Source organism: Homo sapiens, chromosome 1 (genome assembly GCF_000001405.40).
Source record: "Homo sapiens chromosome 1, GRCh38.p14 Primary Assembly".
NCBI classification, from domain to species: Eukaryota; Metazoa; Chordata; class Mammalia; order Primates; family Hominidae; genus Homo; species Homo sapiens.
The window spans coordinates 75524985-75548227 of record NC_000001.11 but is presented as its reverse complement, the minus strand read 5'-3'; the positions used below and the strand labels follow the sequence as shown (position 1 = coordinate 75548227).

Genomic DNA, 23243 nt, shown 5'->3' with positions numbered 1-23243 from the left:
TAAAAGATTAGACTAAGTCCTCCTTAATCTCCACTGTGTAATGAAACATAATAAAAATGAGACTTGGTCTGTCTAAAACTAGAGATGTGAGGAGACTTCAAAAAGTTCATGGAAAAATATTGTGCAGAATCTGGATTTTATGAAAATAAATTTTTATGTGGAAAATGGAAATAAAGTATTAAAATAAAAAGTATAAGGTTAATTTTTAAACATAAGCTCCATCAAATTCAAGACACTTGTGATGATACCAGCCATTTAGCCCATCCCTAAAAAACTGAGGGTTCTGGGAATTTAATTCAGTCAATGCAGACTTTAGACTATTAACTGAAGAAAAATGGGTTTCTTTTACAGATTTTTTAAGACTAAGAAACAAAAAGAAGTTAGAAGGCGCCAAATCAGGACTGTAAGGTGGATGTCTAATGACTTCCCATTGAAACTCTTGCAAAATTGCCCTTGTTTCTTAAGAGGAATGAGCAGGTGCATTTTTATAGTGGAGAAAGACTATGGTGAAGCTTACCTGGGTGTTTTGTTTGTTTGTTTGTTTTTGCTAAAGCTTTGGCTTGCTTTCTCAAAAACATTCTCATGATAAGTAGATGTTATTGTTCTTTGGTCCAACAAAGACTCAAAAAGCAAAATGTCTTGAGCATCCCCAAAAACTGTTGCCATGATGTTCTCTCTTGACCAGGACACTTTTGCTTTGACTGGACCACTTACACCTCTTGGTAGCCATTACTGTAATTGTGCTTTGTCTTTAGAATCACAGCTAAGTTTCATCTCCTGTTACAATTCTTTGAAGAAATGCTTCAGGATCTCAGTTCCACTTATTTAAAATTTCCATTGAGAGTTCTGCTCTTTTCTGTGGCTGATCTGGGTGCAATAGTTTTGGCACCCATTGAGTGGAAAGTTTGCTCATCTATAATTTTTCAGACAGAATTGTGTAAGCTGAACCAATGCAGATGGCTATGGTGTTGGCTATTGTTTGTGCTGTTAATCCTTGGTTTTCTTCAATTAGGACATAATAAAGTTGAATTTTTTTCCTTGGAAATTGATGTGGATGGTCTCCTGCACAGGTTTCATCTTCAGTGTGGTCTTATCCCTTTTTAAAATGAGTTAACTCTTAAAATGAGTTATCCATTTGTAAACTGCTGATTTCTTTGGGCCATTCCTATAAACTTTTCATAAAACATGAATGATTTCATTATTCTTTCATCCAAACTTTACCATAAATTTAATGTTTGTTCTTGCTTCAATTTTAGCAGAATTCATGTTGCTGTGATAAGGGGTATTTTCAAAGTGATGTCTTAGCATCTCAAACTAGATCCTCTTCAGACATTTTTATAACAAGTTAGTATGAGTTTATTTTGGTGCAAAGTTTTTAAAATCCATGCATGGTTCTTTTTTTCATAATACACACTTTCCATGAACCTTCTGAAGACCCTTAATATAATCACCAGATTCCTAGGTAGGAGTTAGACATTTTCGAGGACTGATTAAGGAGCATTGGAACAAGACAGAGCTAGTCTTCGATTTTAGTTAGAAGTTTGTGGCAAGACTTAGAAGTTTCAAAGTTTTACAAAGTAGAAAATGGTTGAGTAACATAGAATGTCGGCTGTAGGTGTCCTTAACATGTTACATTGGAAATGTAAAAATTAAAGAAAAATGCGATTAAAATTTAAAAATAGGTTTAAAGATACCACTTTTAAAAATTTTGAATTTGGGCCGGGCGCGGTGGCTCACGCCTGTAATCCCAGCACTTTGGGAGGCCGAGGCGGGTGGATCATGAGGTCGGGAGATCGAGACCATCCTGGCTAACAGGGTGAAACCCCGTCTCTACTAAAAAAAAATACAAAAAATTAGCCGGGCGCGGTGGCGGGCGCCTGTAGTCCCAGCTACTCGGGAGGCTGAGGCAGGAGAATGGCGTGAACCTGGGAAGCGGAGCTTGCAGTGAGCCGAGATTGCGCCACTGCAGTCCGCAGTCCGACCTGGGCGACAGAGCGAGACTCCGTCTCAAAAAAAAAAAAAAAAAAAAAAAAAAATTTTGAATTTGAACAGTCTTATGAAGAATAAAAATACAAACTAAGGAGAAGAACTTTCAAAAAAAGAATGGGCTGGGCACCTTGGCTAGGAGTTGTAACCCCAGCACTTTGGGAAGCTGAGGTGGGAGGATCACTTGAGCCCAGGAGTTCAAGACCATCTTGGGTAACATAGGGAGACCCCATCTGGGCAAAAAAAATTAGCTTGGTGTGGTGGCACACACCCATCATCCCAGCTACTTGGGAGGTTGAGTTGGGACGAATCACTTGAGCCGAGGAGGTTGAGGTTTCAGTGAGCCATGCTTGTGCTGCTGCAATCCAGCAGCCTGGGTGACAGAACAAGACCCTGACTCAAAGAAAAAAAAAAAAAGAAAAGAAAAAAGAATGGTTAATTAACTAATAAATGTAGAAGAAATAGTAAAGGTAGAAGATCAACATTTTGCAATCATTATAAAATGATTTATTCAGAAGAATAATCAATAAGCTAAAGGTTTGAAGAGGAACAGGATATTTACATTTCATCAAAGTATCTCCCTGGAGGTTACTTATTAATTACAGAATGAAAAGTGGAGAAGCCTGACCAATGCCGCCTTACTGAGTAGTCAAAGTTAACATCACCAATGATGAGATAAATTGAGGTATGATCCCTGACATGTTATACTGAGAAATGTACAACAATGTTTATGCAGTATTCCTGCTGAAAAAGCATAATCTGAATCTAACCAAGTGGAAACATCATACAGAACCAAAGGGACATTCTTTAAAATAATCTCTTGGTGATCTAGAACTAGAAATACCATTTGACCCAGCAATCCCATTACTGGGTATATACCCAAAGGATTATAAGTCATTCTACTATAAAGACACATGAACACGTATGTTTATTGTGGCACTATTCACAATAGCAAAGACTTGTAACCAACCCAAATGTCTATCAACGATAGACTGGATAAAGGAAATGTGGCACAGATACACCATGGAATACCATGCAGCCATTAAAAAGGATGAGATCGTGTCCTTTGCAGAGACATGGATGAAACTGGAAACCATCATTCTCAGCAAACTATCACAAGAACGGAAAACCAAACACTGCATGTTCCCACTCATAAGTGGGAGTTGAACAATGAGGACACATGGACACAGGGAGGGGAACGTCACACACCAGGGCCTTTTGGAGGGTGGGGGGCTAGGGGACGGATAGCATTAGGAGAAATACCTAATGTAGATTACAGGTTGATGGGTGCAGCAAACCACCATGGCACGTGTATACACCTATGTAACAAAACTGCACATGTACCCCAGAACTTAAGGTATAAAAAAAAATCCCTTGGTACTTCTGAATAATTTCGATGTCATGAAAAACAAAATGTGAAGTGTCCCAGATGAAGGAGATTAACAGACATGCCAACTACATGTAATGTGTGATCTTGAATCTGGATCAGAGAAAAAAATTCTGTAAAGGACATTATTGGGACAATTAGAGGAAAATGAATATAGGCTGTATATTGGATAACAGTATTGCGTAAATGTTAAATTCTTGGATTTGATAAATATACTGTGTTAATTTATGAGAACATTCTTTATTGGGAAATGAACACTGAAGTATTTAGAGATAAAGGGACATAATCTGCAAGTAACTCTTAAATGGTTCAGCAAAAGTATTTTGTTGTGTGTGTGTGTGTGTGTGTGTGCACATGCACACAGAAAGAGAAATCAAAAGTGGCAAAATGGTAACAATTGAGGAGTATGGTTAAAGAATATACAACAGTTCTTTGTTTCATTCTTCTGTCTTAGTCTGTTTTGTGCTGCTGTAACAGAATACCACAGATTGGGTAATTTATAATAAACAGAAACATAGTGGCTTATAGTTCTAAAGGCTGGGAAGTCTAAGATCGAGAGGCTGCATTTGGTGAGGACTTTCTTGCTGTATCATAATGGCAGAAGGCATCACATGGTGGAAGGGCAAAGAGAGGGGGAGAAAGTAAGCAACAAATCGGGCCAAACTCATCCTTTTATAAGCAACCGACGCCCTTGATAACAGCATTAATTCATTCATAACAGCAGAGCCCTCATGGCCTAATCACCTCTTAAAGATCCCACTTCTTAATATTGTTACAATGGCAATTAAATTTCACCATAAGTTTGAGAGGGGAAAACTTTCAAACCATAGCATTTTCCAACTCTTCTGTAAGTTTGAAATTATTTCAATATAAAAAGTCTTTATAAAGAGTGATTATTAATCACCTGCCTGAGCAAAGATGTTATCTTTGGCTTGAGTCACTCATCACAGAATAGAAAGCATTTGACATTGCCAAAATGAAGTGTGGATCCCATGAGACAACTGATTGCAGAGCTGGAAGATGAACTTGCAGTATTATTTGTCAGTACAATTTAGCAAACAAGGTTGGGCTTCTTAGAACTCTCCCAGATGATTGCTACCTTATATGGATAATTCATTTTATAAACATTAAAGAAGTTCCAATTATATATATATATGTATATATATGTGTATATATATGTGTGTATATATGTGTGTATATATGTGTATATATATGTGTATATATACGTATATATATGTGTGTGTGTATATATATATATATTTATTTATATATATATATAGGAACTTTTCTAGCCTCACTGGAATTACAGCGATGATAATTTAATATCGAGAACAGTCTCTGACAGTTGCGAGGGGCAACAGCTACATAACAAAATGCCAGGATAATGCAGCGGTGAAAGTAAACATGGAGAAAAAGTTAGCAGAGAATACAACAACTCAGATATTTTTGCGGGATGGTTTGGTGGAGAGGAATGACAATGAGGCACACAAGCTTTCCACTTGATTGAGGTGGAGGAATGGAGTGAGAGAGTACTCCAGGCAAAGGGAGCAGAGGTAGTTGACATAAGAGCTAGGGGTGCCTTGGGACTTTTAAGCAATTTAGTATTGTAGAAGTGAAATACAGCTTTTTGATGTTCAGCTTGTAACAACACAAAAGAAATTAGTTGTCAGTTATGAGTATTTATAAGACATTAAAATAGTATAAAATAATTAACACTAGAAAACATACAATACTAACTGATCCTTTGATAAAGTGTTTTTATTGTGTATGCATGGCATCTTATTAAACATGGAATTCCTCCTTTGACTTTTGTACCTTTTGCAGTAATTGTCAAACTTGAATAATATATAGACTCTTTTAAGGAAGGAAATTCCTATCATTCCCAAGAGTCACATGTTCAGATAACTAGTGGTTGATAGATCTTAGTTTGAGAAATACTGAGTTGAAGAATGGAAGGAAGTTTTACTTTATAGAAAAGTTATTTAATTACAAATTACAACTATAAAAGAGATATGTTGTTTTCAGTCAGCAAAATTATTTTGGATTATTGCAATAAAAACAAAATAATCAAAAGGTGAATACAAAACAATAAAACACTTTGTAATCTTTGAGTCAAAAGCTTAATCTTAAATATGTAAGCTTTACATAACTTTGTAAGTAATACATTCAGACACCAATCAGTACAAGGAAAAGGGCCTGAATAAACAGTTTACAAAAGATGAAATAAAAACTGTAAGCATTTAAAATGTTCACCTTCAATAATAACTACAAAAAAGCAATTTAAAATGAGAGACTACCTTTTTGACCCATAAAATTAGTAGATACTTAAAAAATGATAACATGTTGATGAGAGTTTTTAATAATAGAAAAAATCACAATCTCAATATCCAACAGTATGGAAATAATTAATTAAAATATTCATTTATGTAGTATGACATTACTTGGACATTAAAATATTTTTGAAGAACTTAATATAAATGCTTATGCTATCATATTAAATGCAAAAAAAGCAATGAACAAAAAATATAAATTCAACCTTGTCAAAATATACATAGAAGATCTAGGCAACTATACTATGGTTATGGAAGTCATTAACATATTAATGGTAGAAGCTGGGTGAAGGGTACATGGTAACTCTCTGTATATTTCTGCAGCTTTTCTGTAAGTCTGAAATTATTTCAAAATGAAAAGTTAAAAAACATACATAGAAAAAAATGCTGCAAGGAAAAATACCAAAATTTTAGCAGTGGTTTCTATGTGGTAAAATTGAATAGCTTTTCCCCTTCATTTGGAAAAAGGCTTTTCTTTAACTTAAATTTTTATAGAGTGATATGCCATATAATTTTAAATGCCATATAATACCATTTAAAAAACCCCTCGCCCTAAAACTAAAACAGAAACAAAATGCTGAACTCAAAACAAAAATGTCATCCACCACCATTTGGTAATCAGTGTGGCAGCAAAACATAAAACATAAATGTAAATGCTAAATGGTGCATGAGGATGGAAGATAAGATAGAATATCAACTGGTTAGGGGTGCATTTTACAGGGGGAACGTGAAGTGTGAAAATAGATAAAAGATAAATATAAGGACTGAAATAGATTTAGGAAGCTGTGGCACTAAGAATTTCATTTTGGTAAAAAGGAGAAAGGCTGCTTCTCCAAAGAGAGAAAATATCTGCGGTATTTTATGTGTAGAAGAGAATTAGGCTAATTCTCTGAGTTTTTGGGGAGAGTAAATTATAGTAAGTTATGAGAGCATTCCCAAAAGGTTAGTTGTTAATGAGTAAAAATAATTTGCTTTAGGTAACTATCTTCATACTTGTTTTTATCACAGACTCTTTTCTAAGCAACTCAAGTTTGCAGTGATTCAGGCCTACTTCTGAAGAGACAGCCTTTTATCTCAATGAATGACACAGGTAATCACCTACTTGAATTAAGTTCCTCTTGATCTGGACTTTTGTGCCAAATATTCTTTTTTATTTAATATTAAATAAGGACAAATAGAAAAATGAGTATATACTATGTTGTCACTGGAAGCTGCACCTGGAAAACTACAGCATGTTAGACCTTGTGGTTCTCCGTCTTTGCCTGTCTCAAGATTCTGAGACGCATGACGTCTTCCTTTCTATACCTGGACTCCCTATAGCAGTGATTCTTGGGAACATGGCAAGCTGGGGGTATGTGGTTTGTAAAGGAACATCCTCAGGCACACTTATGTCAATTCTGAAACTGTTCCCTTTCTCCAGCGTTGCCCCCTCTCCCTCAGAGTTATTGGTAGAACCAGAATCTTTTAGTTTTAACAGTTTATCCTAGACAATTATTGTTTAGCCCCCTTTCTCGTATTGAGACAAAGTTAGAGCTTGCTCCTTAGAGAAACAATACTGTGTCAGAAATTGTTCTTTGGAGAGGGAGTGTGAGGCTTTACTTCAAACTTAGCCCTGATTCAGTTTCTGTCCCCATAGTTAGATTTTAAGCCCCTTACAGGCATAGGTTAGGTCTTATCCATCTTTTTACCTTCTTCGGACTTAGTCTTTGACTTTTGAAAAAGTAGTTACTTACCAAATGTTTATTGAAAATGAATACCATTTCCTTAAGGGCAAATTGTATTCCTTCGTGAAGGTAAATCTATCTCTTGCTATGAAAAAAAAATGTGGCATAAGTACAAGTTAAAGTAGAAAATACAGAATGTATAGCTTAAAGTTAAGCAGCAGCTTTGATCTTTGGCTGAGTATATAAAAAAGATTAAGAGTTATTAAAAATAAGATCTAAAGGTCTGTCTAACAAGATTCTTAAAAGAGGAACCCAGAATATGTTTGAATCTACACATGTTCCTCAAGGCTGCAAATACATTGTACTATATGGACAGTCACTGACAGAGGCATTTATCTGATCTTGTGAACATGTTACAGGGAATTCTGTGTCCAGAGCCTCTGCCCTTTGACTGTGGATTGCTTCTTGTTTATTAAGTATGAAAACTGGAGAACGACAGACTTAGAGGACATTTTCTCTTATGCATACATACAGCATTATTAACATACTCTCGCCTATAGCAGATTGTTTTAGAATTTTAGATTTGTTTGCGCATCTGTAAAAAATAACAATAATAATTATCTTACAGACTGAGGTAAGGATTAAATTGGCACAGTGCCTGAGAAGTAGTACATATATGCTCAATAAATGGTGTTTTTTCATTATTATTCACAGATAGAAATTCAGAAGTGTGTTACAAAGGGTTAGGTGAATTTAATATAGAATTACCAGGGCAATATTATATTTCAACTACATTATATTTAGATTGGCTTATGTGAGCTGAAAGCAAAGTGTTTCTACCATGTCTAACAATACCGTAAGGGAAAATACTTTCTTAAAACTATACAACTGGCATGCTCTTGGAGTTTTGAAGCTGCTCATAAGTTGGGTGTTACCTAGTCCTTTTCTATGTTGCTCATTTATCTCTTTTTTTCTGAATATTGGCTATTGTTAATAAATAACCTAGAAGAGATATCACACCTTTCATCATCAGAAATAAGCCATTGCTTTCACAGTGACGTCTACTTTTTAAACATTTCCACTAATTAATGTTTCTGTTGGCCTCCATTTATTGTCAAGTAGCTTGCATGTCTTTGACCTTAAGTTAATGAATGACTTTCTCCGTAGCATTTATGAGTCAGATTCCTTGGGCTTGAGCCATTACTCAAGGCTTGAGCCATTACTGCGTAAGGACATTTACTTTTTATTTTTAAATTCCATTTTTTTTTTGCAGTTTTTACATACGCAGGGAATGAAAAATTATGTTGGCTAGAAATTTGTAATAAAAGGCATAGAAAATAACGTAGATCTTGGCAAAACTTTATTCACTCATAGGACAACACTTGGATACTTGTTGGAGTGGAACAGAAAAGCTGGCAACACCTCTAGCACCACCACTATCAATAGAAAACATTCATTTAAAATAAAGTTGCCTGTGAAGCTGTGCTAGATATTATTAAAAGAGAAACACATTGAGAACAGTGACCTCAAATTACTTATACAGAGTTGACAAGTGGAAAGAATAAAAACATTAAGCTATATCCACAGGCATTGTGGTTTTCATTACATGTAGGTAAGGTACAAATGAAATTTTGATATGTGAAAAAAGTCAATTATCTGACTAAAGTAGAGATTAGAGGTAAGTTTAGGACTTTTTATGTCTTGTACAATTGATGGATAATAATAACAATGTGACTATATTCTCTTGAATTCGTCAGGGGATAGACTATTTAAGTTTTGGTGTCCACCAGGACAGAGACAGGCAAAGTGACAGCTGTTACTCTTTGGAGTGGGTTCTTCAAAGCAGACTTAGACCCTGGCTAAGCCTGATGCTTAAAACCATGGTGCTCCTGGGGCAAGCAAATGTCTTGGATACCTTTCAGAATGTGCCACTGGCTCCTGTGACTGGGGCATGGAGGGGGAACACCAATATTATTACTCAAATAGCTCCAGGCCAATGTATGGTTTCAGGAACAGCACAGAGGAATGCCTGGGACACCCAAGATGAGACTTGGGTAAATTAGCACAAAAAATTGCCTCAAAGAGGAACAATAAATTTTATTGGAAACCGATGTGAATTTTGTTTCCAAATTAGTGTGCTAGTAACAAAGCCAACAGACATTTAAACAGTAAGCTGACAGTTTACCCACACTTTCTACTTTAGCTGAAATTGGAGTGCCTCAATTCGTTCCTTCTTCATTTCTGTAATCGAAAAGAAGCCTTTATAGTATGTCTAAAAGCACACTAAGGTTGTATTTGTATTAACATCTTAATTTTGCTAAGTGCCAATAAATGCTATGCCTTATCTTCACTTTTCTGTTAGGAAATTACCTAAAAGACAATGCTTTATTGTAAAATTTAAAAAATATATTGTAAGTAGTATTTCCAGAGACAAGAAGCTATCTAAATCTATTTTACAATCTGCATCTATATCTACATTTATATCATATCTATATCTGTGTTTTCCAGTGGTCATACCCTCAAGCATACTGATATAGAATACAGAGGTTGAGACATTTAGATGCTATTACTAAGGTTAAAAATTATATCATAAACATACACACACATAAAAAAGACTGTAACAAATGAAGATAAAGACAATAAACACTTTTTTCTCCTACCCTAAGATAAGCATAACTCATCAAGATCCATCTGTTTATTCTTGGATGTTCTATTCTACTTCTGTGGTTGGTCTCACTCCTGTAGTGGTCTCATTCCTGTTGGTATCAACACTGGAATATTACAGAGAAGATTAGCATAGCCTCTTGCAAAGATGCCTCACAAATTTGTAAACCTGCTATATTTTTGCATAGTTAATTACTTCTTTCTTTGGGTTCCAATAGCACATTGTATGTATATTAGCTGTCATCTTACTGTATTATAATTATTTGTTTACTTCTCTGTCCCCCTCAGAAAACAGAATCGCTAAAGAAAGAAATTATTCTTTATATTCCTAGTGGCCAGCACAGTGCCTAGATCCTAAAACGCATCCAGAAAATGTTTAATAAATGAAAAAAAAGAATGAAAGAAGTTTTATATTTATGTGTAAGAAACAAGCAACAATTCTTTATATACATCATGCCAAAGCAGAAATGGATTCTGAAACAATTTCTTCCCTCCTCACCTTGTATTCCCAATGGCAGAAATTCTATTTTAGTGTGATGCCCACTGGCCACCCCCTGCTGATAACTAGTGGACACAGTTCAGTTTGATGATGGGCAGATGGACAAGCCTGCTGTTGTCCTTGGCCATAGGCTGTTTCTGCCTGTTCTCTTAGATGCATCAAACATGCATTTCTTTCTCTCCTCCTTTTTCAGAATTGTACATACTTGCTTCTAAAACTGAACAGAATGATATATTTGCAATATAAGATGCATAAGCAGGCTCTAGAAGACAGATAAGCAAAAATACTTTGAGAGATACATGTTATCTAACACAAAAGAAATGGACTCAGTAGAAAAGAAGCCATAACACATTGCTATTATTCAACTGATGAGGGATAGATTTTCCCTCTTTCTCTTCCATCATAATGAGATTGATTAGAAGAGAAATAAAGTTGCAATGTATTTCTGGAAAAGGAGATCCAGATTATGGTACCAATTTGAATTGTTCAACTAGATGATTGCCCAGAGTTATAATTCATTCAAATTTCACATATAATTACATACATAAATAGTAGTTGCTTCAAATTACCAATACAAACAACAGTTTCATAGATAAGACACTGGCATGTTACTTAAGTTTTTAAGCTATATACATATTCAGAATCATTTGGCATAGATATATATTTTTTTTTTTTTTTTTTTTTTTTTTTTTGAGATGGAGTCTCGCTCTGTCGCCCAGGCTGGAGTGCAGTGGCGGGATCTCGGCTCACTGCAAGCTCCGCCTCCCGGGTTCACGCCATTCTCCTGCCTCAGCCTCCCAAGTAGCTGGGACTACAGGCGCCCGCCACTACGCCCGGCTAATTTTTTGTATTTTTAGTAGAGACGGGGTTTCACCGTTTTAGCCGGGATGGTCTCGATCTCCTGACCTCGTGATCCGCCCGCCTCGGCCTCCCAAAGTGCTGGGATTACAGGCGTGAGCCACCGCGCCCGGCCTAGATATTTTCTTTGCTAGTAAAAAGAAAATGGGAGAAGAAAATAATAATTATTTATTTATTTATTTTTTATCATGGGCCAGGCTTTTTTTTTCTTTCTTTTCTTTTCTTTTTTTTTTTTTTTTGAGATGGAGTCTTGCTCTGTCGCCCAGGCTGGAGTGCAGTGGCGCGATCTCGGCTCACTGCAAGCTTCGCTTCCCGGGTTCATGCCATTCTCCTACCTCAGCCTCCGGAGTAGCTGGGACTACAGGCGCCCGCCACCATGCCCAGCCAATTTTTTTTGTATTTTTAGTAGAGACGGGGTTTCACTGTGTTAGCCAGGATGGTCTCGATCTCCTGACCTCGTGATCCACCCGCCTCGGCCTCCCAAAGGGCTGGGATTACAGGCGTGAGCCACCGCGTCTGGCCGGGCCAGGCATTTTTATGAAGACACTTTTTCCGTGTTTTTTATGTAATCCTCAGGACTCTGCTGGGAAATTAGTTTTATTATGATTATTTTTAAAAAGAGAAAAGTTAGACTGAGAGATAGGAAGTAATTTCACTCAAGGTTACAGAGCTGAGCAGTGACCAAACTGTAATTCCCTATCAAGTCCTTTCTACTCTTAAACTTATTTTCTACCTACTGTTTCGGATTTAGCAAGCATATAGCCATTTCTCAAGGATTTTTTTTTTTTTTTTTTCAAGAGACGAAGTCTTGCTATGTTGCCCAGGCTGCTCACAAATTCCTGGGCTCAAACAATCCTCCCGCCTCCGCCTCCCAAAGTGTTGAGATTACAGGCATGGACCACCGCTCCTGGCCTTGGGTTTTTATTATGAAAGTGGTAGTGTTTTATAGGGTTTCCAGTAATTGTGAATGGTGTCTTAGATGCCAACTACTAAAAATGTTTCTGCTGAGTGAGTTGGGGTACTTGTACTCTTTTCCAGATGATTAAATCTATTGCCTGAAAAACTCATTCAGTAATGTGATACAGGGGAAGCCATCTCTGATTTTTTGTAATGACTAGGCTAGAGAGTAGAGTTCTCCAGTGTTTCCTGCACCATTCTTTAGGAAATACTAGTCTACTTTCTAGAAGTCAAAATTTGTCCTGGCTACCCTGTTTGTCTAAAGGTACCATGCCCAGGCTAGCATGGTGGGATATGGCCAGAACTCTTGGTGACATTCTTGCTTTGACCCCAATTCATGGTACACCAGTGATCTTTGGGCTAACTTAGGGGGCTAAGGTGAGAATCACTCCAGCTTTGTGGCTGGATTTTTCTGAGGGCCTTTGGCATTGTTTCCACACGATGGAAGAACCCTAGAACTGACTTGCCCTTTTGCATGGAGGAGGGGCAGCACAGACCCTGAACTTCAGCTGCGGATTCAGCATTTCTCCCAGGGTGGTGGCAGGGTGCGTGCTGAGAAGTGATTCTGTGTACTTGCTGCTTTCCTCCTTCTTCCTTCAAATATGTATCAGGCTCACCTTCTCAGGGCGAAAGGACAAACTATAGGACCAACTGCTGGTACCTTGTAACTAAGTAACATAGGTGCTAAAATGGATTAACTCTGTGAAGTAACAGAACTGCCTGTTATCCTGGTTTCCTTAGGTAAGCAGATTGTGCCAGAAGCATTTTCTGTGTTAGATGATGATTTTTCTTTAAAAAAAAAAAAAAAAAAGCAGCTTCAATTATAGTAAGCCTAAAAAATGAGAGTTAATCAAGATAGAATTATCAATTGACTAGGTACAATTTGACAAGTCAGTTTTTATTCCAACTGCATTATAGAGGTGATTTTAATATTTAGAAGCTGTGATTCAGAGAGAGGCTCCAGAAAAATTATAATGTGGGCATAATTTCCATAGTAAGGGAATGGTCATTATATTAAAGTAGATGTTTATCTCTCTCTCACCTCTTTTTCTTATTTTTCCAATTCTGTATGTCTGCCTATAATTTAAACTGAGTAATTAAAGCTATGCTTAAAATGCTTTGCCATTAATAAACGAAAAGTCACCTTTAAAAAGTTGATTCAGTAATGGAAGTTATTTCAGGACTGGATTTGAGCCCAGTTCCTATTAATGAGGACTATTTTCCTTTTCTTTTTCTAGGACAGTGGAATTAGAATAATCTGTTTTGTCTATTTCCAGTCATGACACATTCTAGGTTTAGGTAAATAAACTGAACTGAAAAATAACAGGCTAACCAACCCTGTCTGTCACTTGACTTGAAGCTGTCATTTTTCATTTCAGCATTATATTAATGAGCATTAGTATGAAAACTCTCTGTCAAAGGTTTGCTTCTTATGTTTTGATTGCTTTAGAATGAAAATGTAGGTACTGAATTTCAGAAATGGAGTAGGAGGGGCAGAGAGCCCTGGACAGAATCAGGAGGCTGGCTTAGGTCTTGGTTCTGTCACCATGTATGACCATGTATGTACCTGGACAAATGGAGCCCGGCTTTATTTTTTTTTTCTTTTTTACATAAGTGACTCCATTTTGATTCCGACGACTTTAACAGGTGATTTGCAAAAGGTAAATCACTTTAAAATTTTAAATATCTGTTTCCTTTACATTTAAAAGCAGAATGGTTAGAGTAAGATAGCATGGCAAATAGGTGTCCCCTTTTCTGCCAGCTCTGATCAATTGATAATGCCTGTCTCGAGTACTGCATGGGGATGATGGTGAAACCTTTTGCAGATCCAGTTGGCAGGAGGACTCAGGGCAAAAGAGCCACTTATTTTCCATCCCTGAACTTGACAACTTCTTGGGTAATTATCTGCTTTTTTTATGACTTTTGCAATTTATTCTTATGTTTTACAGTTCAGGAAATGGTCTCTTCATAATTTACCTAAAGACGTTTCGAAAATTTGAGACCAAGGATACATAGTCTTTGAGATCATCTAATCAAAATTAGGATGATATGTTAAAAAGTGTGTCAACTTAAGTCACAGAGAAGCTCTCTAAAAGAAAATATTCAAGAATAGGGTATTGCAATGGGGAAATGTGCATAGTAAACTATGTGTGTATTCAGATAGGTAAAGGAAGACAAAGAGTTTTTACAGAAAAAATGAGGAGTATTACATAATTTTATTGAAATGGTTATCTTTGGGTACAAAGACATATAATAACATGGATAACGTCAGTCTGAGGTTGGACACAAGGGTGCAGTGGCCTTCCTGCAAGGTTTTGGTATTTGCAGTCTTTTGTGATAAGTTTTGTAATCAGGTATACAAGTGTGAGAGCCTTCTTTTCGTTGCCTTCCCTGGCTCTATTTGTCAGATATTTTTTTAAACATAAGGGACTCCATTTTGATTCCAACAGCCTTAATGGGTTATTTGTAAAATGTAAAGTGCTATTTTTATTATTTAAGGACAACATGGATAATTAATGATAAGGTTTTCTATTGTTTCCGTTGGGGCCTCGTTCCTCCAATTTTTCATGGAATATTTATTGCATGAATGACACAGACTCTTTCAGTAAATTCCTTAAAAGTTACTCATTCTACTGACACTAGATTAAGATAATTAAGTGCTAAATTGTATGGCACAGATAGTAAACAATGTAGACATTCAGAGAGCTATAGAGCCAGAATCATCAGAGTCATTCAGTCATCAGAGAACTTTAAAGGAAAAGGCAGAACTTGAGCAGGGTCTACAATGGGCTGAATTTAGGCAGAAGGGCATCTTAGAAATGGGGCATAATTTGAGTAGAGCATGGAATGGGACATAAGTGCAATTTGTGGCGATGAACAAGAAGTAGAAACTGTTTCAATAAGGAAAGTTTAGATTGCTAATTATTAGTAATAAGATAAATATCAATAATAGTTAACATTTATTCACTTATTCATCCAACCTATATATATTAATTTGTATTTTTGGTAGAGATGGGTTTTTGCTATGTTGCCCAGGCTTGTCTCGAACTCTTGAGCTCAGGCTATCTGCCCACCTTGGCCTCCCAAAGTGCTGGGATTACAGGCATGAGCCACCACACCCAGCCCCAACCAATATGTTTTGAGTGCTTATAATGTGCCAAACTCTATACTGAACACTGGGGATACAGCTCTTAGCAAAATGGACAAAAATCTTTGGCAGTTTTATAGCTCTTACATTCTAGTGGAAAATGATAGTAAAGAAAGCAACAATTTAAATATGTAGTATGTTAGAGAATAATAACTGCAAAGGAGAAAAATAAAGCAGGGAAGGGGACAAGGAAATGGTAGGGGTGGGTGGCAATTTTGGATAGAGTGGCCAAAGAAGGCCTTATTAAGAGGGTAATGACTGTGTTATGATCTGAAGCACCACATGCCAGGCATCTTGCCTGGTTGGCTACTTATTATAGTTTATTTAATTTTCAGAACAACCGTATGAAAATAGGAACTATTATTGCCCTCATTTTATAGATGATAATCTGAAGCATTAGACAACTGAAGTAACGTGCAAGTGTAAACAGCAATTAAGTGTAAGAGGTGGATTTTAAATCCCGGAAGTTAATTCCCGAGAGTATGCTTTTAGTTTATAAAAGTCTGGATAACAAAAATCATTGAAAGAGGTATCAGCAGTCAAAATGATAGAATTTTAGAGCTGGAGAGAAACTTACTGATTGTCTAATCCAGTGGTTTTCAACCACCTGGAGAGCTTGTTAAAACTCAGATTTCTAGACCCCACTTCTGAAGTTTTTGATTAAGTAGGTCTAGGATGAGCCCTGAGAATTTGCATTCTAACAAGTTTCCAGGTGATGCTGATGGTTTCCATTGATGGTTTGGGCAACACACTTTGGGAATTATTGGTCTAGTCATGTAGCACGTTCAAATTACTGAAATTAGCTATTCTCTACTGTTTTGGCTCCCAGCATTCTGTGCCTTGTTTCTTACCCACCTCTTTCTTGAGTATATAGGGACAGAGGCTTTCTTAATCTATTTACCACACAATAAAGGTTTAATAAATGTCTATCATTGAATGACTAATGTGGAAGAGAAGAGGGAAGCACTGAAAGTTTTGACCAGCAAAGTGACATAATGAAAGCAGTATTTTAGGAAGATTTGTTACTAAGGATGGTAAGATAAAGAGATTGGAGATATGAATATTTTCCCATTGCCAGGTCCCTGTAGAGCTTTGTCAAAGTGTGACACGGACCAGCAGCATTGGCATCAACTGGAGGCTTGTTAGAAACCCCAACTCTCAGAGCCCACCTTAGACCTACTGAATCAGAATCTATGTTTTTACAAGATCCCCAGTGACTCATATGCATGTAGAAGTTTAAGAAACACAGCTTTAGGACATCAAATGGTCAATGCCTGACCTTATAGGGTAGCCCTAGGTGATCAAGAAGCAGCAGCATATATGAATGACTGAGCAGGTCAGCTTTTTCTCAAGCATATTTCTTGGGATACCAGTTCTCTGAGATCTTAATAGGTATTCAGTGGTCAAAAAAGTTTGGCAATATATTTTACAAGATAAATGTATACAAATTAAAAATAATTTTTAAAAATGTTTGGCAGAAAGCAGATTAAATATCAGATTAAACAGAGATAAATAGGTCTATTTATGGACAGGCTTTAAAAAATCTTTTAATATGCTAATGCGCTTTCTGAATCTCCAAGAGAAAAGCTGTGTTGTGTAGCTGCTTCTACATTTATTGCTCATGAAAGGCAATCTGGGGGGCATCTTCCCATGTTATTGTCCTGTGGAGCGCATCTTGATAAAGCTGCAATAGGCCATTTGTGGTTATTAGAGTTCTAGACTTGTCAGGTTTTCTAATCTCTGGGCAGGAAAGCACCTTACACTTTCTAACTTTAATATCCATTAAACTTCCTCACTTTAATATTCATTAATTTTCTGTTCAAATGCCCAACCTTTCCATCACTGGTCCAGGTATGTGACCTACTTCTGACTCACTTTGATGGCTGAACTGTATTTATTTGGAAAGTCATAGGATGGGATTGCAGGCTCTGTCAGGTATGGAAAAAATATTCAAGAATTAGTTGCTGGTTTTGGCATCTGAGGAAATAAGGAGCTACTAGAAAATGTCAGGGTCACTCGTAAAGTACCCAAGTTTAGTTTTTGGTAAAAGTAAAGTCGGGAGGTAGTACTGAGAGCAATTAGTGGGTAAACAAAGAAGAAATATCAAAATTTGACTATTAAGAGACACAACATCTGTCAGCAAATTTGTAGTCAGGCATAAAAAGAAGCACATGAACAGACATATTTGGGAACTAGGGCTATTTTAGATTTAGGACAGTCCAAATAGCTTTTCTACAGTTTATTTCTATTGATGTCCTTTTTGAAAATCTGTGGCCCATTTGAACCCTGAAAGGTTGATTATTCCACATTCTATAACTCAAAAAGCATTTGATTTTAAATTACACTTACTAATAAATTACCAATAGTTTGGGTAGCATTTTGCTGTACCTCCACTCTCCTGGACATGAAGCTTCACTTTGTTTTTATTTTTGGTAGCAGAATTTTTATACTCTTGATATTAAGAGGAGTGAAAATACTTTCTTAGTGATGCCCTTAGTTTGGGCAGTAAGCCAGATAATTTTCATGTTTTTCCCTTTTCTGTTAATAATAATAAAAAACAATGAAAACTATTTTTCTTTGAATTTGTTCCTCCAAATGCTCAAAGGCTTTCTTTATTTCTTATTACCTTTTGCACTCCAGCCTGGGCCACAGAGCAAGACTCCGTCTCAAAAAAAAGATGTTATTTCTTGCAAAATCAAGGTAGTACTTAATGATATTCACATAATTTTTAAAGGAAGTTTTCTCCTGAGTCACTAAATTTGATACTTTGGAGCATAAACTTCAATATGTAAATATTCCAAATCTGATTCAATACAGTTTCCCTTTACTGTACCCTCCACTGGTTGAATTTCCTGCCCTTGCAGGAGAAATTTTGAAAAGGAGGGAATGAAGTTTTTAAAATCAAGCAGAATATTTTGAATTAAGTAGTTTTTTATTTCAGAGACTTCTAGAGGGGATTAGTACAGCTTTGAGCCACTTTTCTCTATCTCTAAATCTAAAGTTCCCAGGATACTATTTCTAAGATGAGGACTCTGAGATCTTATAAGCTGCTTAGTCATTCCAAAGAGATGCAATTTTTCTTATTGTACTAGATTTACTAAGACAGAAAAGTAGACTGATTCATTACACAATAGAAAGAGGCTGACTGCCTTTGGAAGGAGTACTTTTCCTTCTAAAATGCTTAATCCATCCTATTGTCAGGCTAAAAATTGTGGGAGATGGCATTTACTGGGCCACCCTGATTCTTCTGTAGAGTAGAACCTGGAAGGTTTTGGTGGCTAAATGAGTACCTCTAAACAGGTGAAGATGGACTGTGTGGGTGCTAAGAGAACCCCAACTGCTGAATTTTGAACATGATGGGCATCTTTTATCACTACAAGCCCTTATGGTTAGTAGGAAAGAGATAATAGAGGCATCAACTGTCCCATATCCCAAAGGTATCCTGCTAATGAGCCATTTTTAATGCACATGCTAAGGGTTGCCAGTTCTTATTTTGGAGAGATTTTCAACAAGAATTGCAACCAGAGGTTAAAATTAGACCTTGGGTTACTAAATATTTGTACGACATCCATCCAACAAAGCATTTATCAGTCTTCATCAGGTGCTAGGTACAGTGCCGGGTGCTGGGATATTGGCAAAAATGATAAATATTTGTCATTACCATCCTATTGCTTGCTGAATAAAGTGGGTTGCAGGTAAGTAAACAAGATAATGTAACAGTGAGTTATGTGTTATGATAGGAGAAATACAATGAACTATAATAATACACAGAAGCGAGTTGCTTAATTTTTACTTGAGTCAGGTAAGAAGAGGCATTTACATGAAAGATGAATAAGCAATAGACAGACCAAGAGGAGTTGGGGCAGGAAAGAGCATTCTGAGAAACCAGTGTATACAAAGGTCCAGAGGAAAACCATAAGAACATTTTGTTTGGAACATACAGCTTTTGGGAAGAAAGGGAAGTGGCTAGAAATGAAGAAAGAAAAGTAAATAGGGTCCAGATAGTTAGGGTTTTATAGGCATTTGGGCTTTATTCTAGAATGGAGAGTCATTAAAAGCTTTTCCAGCAGAGAAATGATTAAAGATGCATTTTATGGTAAGGACTCTGGCTGCATTCTGGAGAAAGTTGGAGGGAAATAATACTGGGTAGAGTGGGACAAATGAGGAGACTGTCGCACATGTTTTCATAGAAGAAGATGTTTGCCTGCATTTGACAAATGATAACATTCTTCACAGCTAGTGCTTTTGTGTTTGGTGCACTAGACGTTAAAGTTGTATACTCTTAATTTCGTAAAATCCATGTGTTTATACTGTGCTTTAACTCAATGTTTCCCATATTATATTTCTTTAAGAAACCATCCTTTTTTTCTCCTTCTCATAATTTTATAAAATATATATTTTTTGCTTCCTGAATATTCTGAAATGTCTTGTCTGTTCTTGACACATGTATCTTTTCTACATTTTGTCACTTTGGTTTCTTTTTCAAATATGCCTATAGAGAGCTCATGTTGAAAGAGAAGTAATTATGTTTCTAGTGAATAGATCTTGGCATCACAACAGGATAGTCTGAGATTTCCTGGAAAGAGCAGTAGAAAGAAATTTAGTGGTTCTCAGAACTGGAAAAAAAATAGCTTAAAGATAAATAGTGTTCCCAGAGGGAAGGAGGCTTGTTGTATAGCAATCAATATAGTAGGATTAGAAAAGACCAACACAGTTGAACCCCAAAGTACAAAATGTAATTAAGGGCACAAAAGACACATAATGCATGTCAAGTTTAAAAGAGAAGCTGAGCAATTACAGAGTGAAGTTCAGAACTTAAAAGTGACAGAAAGAGCAAAGGGGGAAAATGACAAAAACATTTCATGTAAGACTAAAAGTGCTGCAATCGTATATGTGATACAAAAGGTCAGTGAACAGCCTAGAAAGGTGTCTAATGGATAGCAAGGGTAATCCATTGACTGGAAGGGTCTTGTAGACATTGATTTCAAAAAGTAAAATTAAATGATTTTTTTTTTTTGCCTCAGTGCTCTCAAAAAGCAAAGTCTTGCTAAAAAGAGAAATCAATTTAAAATGAAATAAGTAAAATTGTTCATTGGAAATGTTGCCAATCAATAGGTGGTAAAGAAATCAAGAAATCTGAATTCTCATACAGAGCCAGCCAGATATGTTTTCTTCCAGGATTAATGCTGTCATTGTCCAAGGCAATAATTCATTTTTAGGCTTAGAAATCCTTTCTAAGAAAATATTATGTTTTTATGTTTTTGTTCCCAAGTCACCAAATTGTAGCCCATTTTAATGCTTTTTTGGCTTTCTGTGTGTCTGGGTGTGACACATCTGACCCATACAGGAGGATATGTAGAAGTCCTGGCAAAAGAACTTCCTAACCTATTAAGCAATCTCTCCTCCCTCCCTCCCTCCCTTCCTTTCTGTCTCTCTTTCTCTCTTTCTCCCTTTCTCCCTTTCTAACTTTCTCTCTCTTTCCTTCTCTCTCACTTTTTCTCTCTCTCTCTGTCTTCCTCCCTCCTTCACTCCCTTCCTTCCTTCTCTTTTTTTCTTTCCTTTTCTTTTTCTTTTCTTTTCTTTTTTTTTTCTTTTTTTTTGCGACAGTGTCTTGCTCTGCCACCGAGGCTGGAGTGCAGTGGTGCAATCTCGGCTCACTGCAGCCTCTGCCTCCCAGCTTCAAGCGATTCTCCTGCCTCAGCTTCCTGAGTAGCTGGGATTACAGGTGCATGCCACCATGCCCGGCTAGTTTTTTGCATTTTTAGTAGAGGCAGAGTTTCACCATGTTGCCCAGGCTGGTCTCGAACTCCTGACCTCAGGTGATCCGCCCACCTCAGCCTCCCAAATGCTGGGATTACAGGTGTGAGCCACCGCACCCAGCCTTTTTTCTTTTCTTTTTGAGGAAATGGTCAAATGTGCTTGTTGTTATGTTAAGTAGAGATTTGGAAGAATGCGCATTGTTTACTCTGAAAATTGTGGGAGATAAAATTTCCTAAGGGAACACCAATAGTTTTTTCTTAATTGCATATTAAAGGCAATATTCAAAGAAAGGGTAAACTGGATGCAGTAGTAGAGGGGTTTCCTGTTAGCCTCTCAGAAAGATTTAGAAACTAAGAAATTCTGACTAGCTGTTGTAACAGACAAACCCTGAAATCTCAGTGGCTTTAGCACAACAGACATGTATTTCTTGTTCATATCACAGTCTAATATGAATGGGGGATCTTCCTTCATTTTGCAGCCACACTAAGGGCCTCTGCGATAAGGGTAGACAAAGATGGAAGTGGCTGCATAGCTCATAGCTGTCTTGGCCTGGAACCGGCCTTTTCCCTCTGAGCCAGTTACATGACCCCAACCTAACTGTGAGGTAGCCTGGGAAAAGTAGGGGAGTACCTGGGAGTAATTAATTTGACATTAACTGTTTTTGCCACTAGAAGGAAGTTAGTTACTGATTCTGTGCTCTATTTCCATTGTTCCTGGGGAGATAAGGACCCTCAAAGATGGAGGAGGTAGAAGAAGGTGGTACTGTCTGTGGTGGAGGGGACGGAAACTGAAATATATCACAGGAAGTGACGAGACCCATAGAAGTGAAACTGGAAAAGCTGGCCTGAAGTGGTGTGCAGAATAAGGGAATGGCTGTAGGTTCACCATTTCCATGTAACCTACAAAGACAAAGGTTAACTCTGGGACTACTAATTATGCTGCTTTAAATGTAATCACACTGCTTCAAATATATTACATTAAACGTACCTTTTTGGATATTTTTCCATTAACTTTAAACATTTTCTAAATATACAGAAAGATTGAAAGAATAGTACAATATGAACGCTTGTATACTCATTACCTTCGTTCAGCGGTTATTCATGTTTTGCCATATTTACTTTGTATAGCTATTTGTAAGTATGTGAACTTTTTTCCGAACACCTTGAAAATATGTTGCAGACATAATATTTACCATAATATTTCATATAACTGCAATGCCATCATCATATCTAAGACAATTTTATATTCATATTATACCCACACACATGATAATATAACCAATTTATATTCAATTTATATTCAAATTTCCCCAATTATCTAAAGATGACATTTATCTCTCTCATTCTCTCTCTTTTTTTCAAACAAAGTTCACAGATTGTATTCATGTTACATTTCTCTAGTGTCTTTTAATCTCAAAATCCCTTTATTTCTTTTTTATAGCATTTACTTTTTGAAGACATGGCAGGACAGTTGTATTGTCCCACATTCTGGATTTGTCTGATTTCTTCTGCATGCTGTGGTTCTCCTTGTTCTTATACTCTTTGGATTTCTTATAAACTAAAATGGGTCTAATGGCTTAATTAGATTTAAATTAAACATTTTTGGCTAGGATATTCCATAAGTGATATTCTTATTTCATGTTACATCACAACAGAAGGCATATAATGCCAGGTTTTTCACTAAAATGATGTTAAATTTGATCACTTTGTTGGTATGGTCATCACCAAATCTCTTCATTGTGAAGGTTTATTTTTCACTTTACAATTAGCAACTAACTTGTTGGTTAATACCTTAGCACCTTGTGAGTATCTCAACAATCTTTCACCTAAATATTTTAAAATGCATTGACGATCTTTGCCTGAAATAATTATTTCATTGGGAGGTATAAAAAGTGTGATTTTTCTAATTTATATCATTTTTTCTATATTTAGTAGCTGACATTGTTCTGTGAAGAATAACTTTGCCTCATCAACTGGGACTGAATTACATT

General features: G+C 36.5%; 1 protein-coding gene and 1 pseudogene across 11 annotated transcripts in view; both read left to right on the top strand.

Moving 5' to 3' along the window:
- Window positions 1-23243, top strand: part of SLC44A5 (solute carrier family 44 member 5) — a 521887-nt gene that overhangs the window by 175788 nt on the left and 322856 nt on the right. For 6 of the 11 annotated variants that reach the window (NM_001130058.2, NM_001320287.2, NM_001320285.2 and 3 more), the window contains one exon: window positions 6712-6793. The exons of the other annotated variants lie outside the window; for them this stretch is intronic. In NM_001130058.2, coding sequence (NP_001123530.1) covers window positions 6781-6793 — 13 coding nt within the window. In that variant the 5' untranslated portion in view covers window positions 6712-6780. The remainder of the gene's footprint in view (window positions 1-6711; window positions 6794-23243) is intronic. 11 annotated transcript variants of the gene reach the window in all.
- On the top strand, window positions 10109-10213 carry RNU6-503P (RNA, U6 small nuclear 503, pseudogene; annotated as a pseudogene).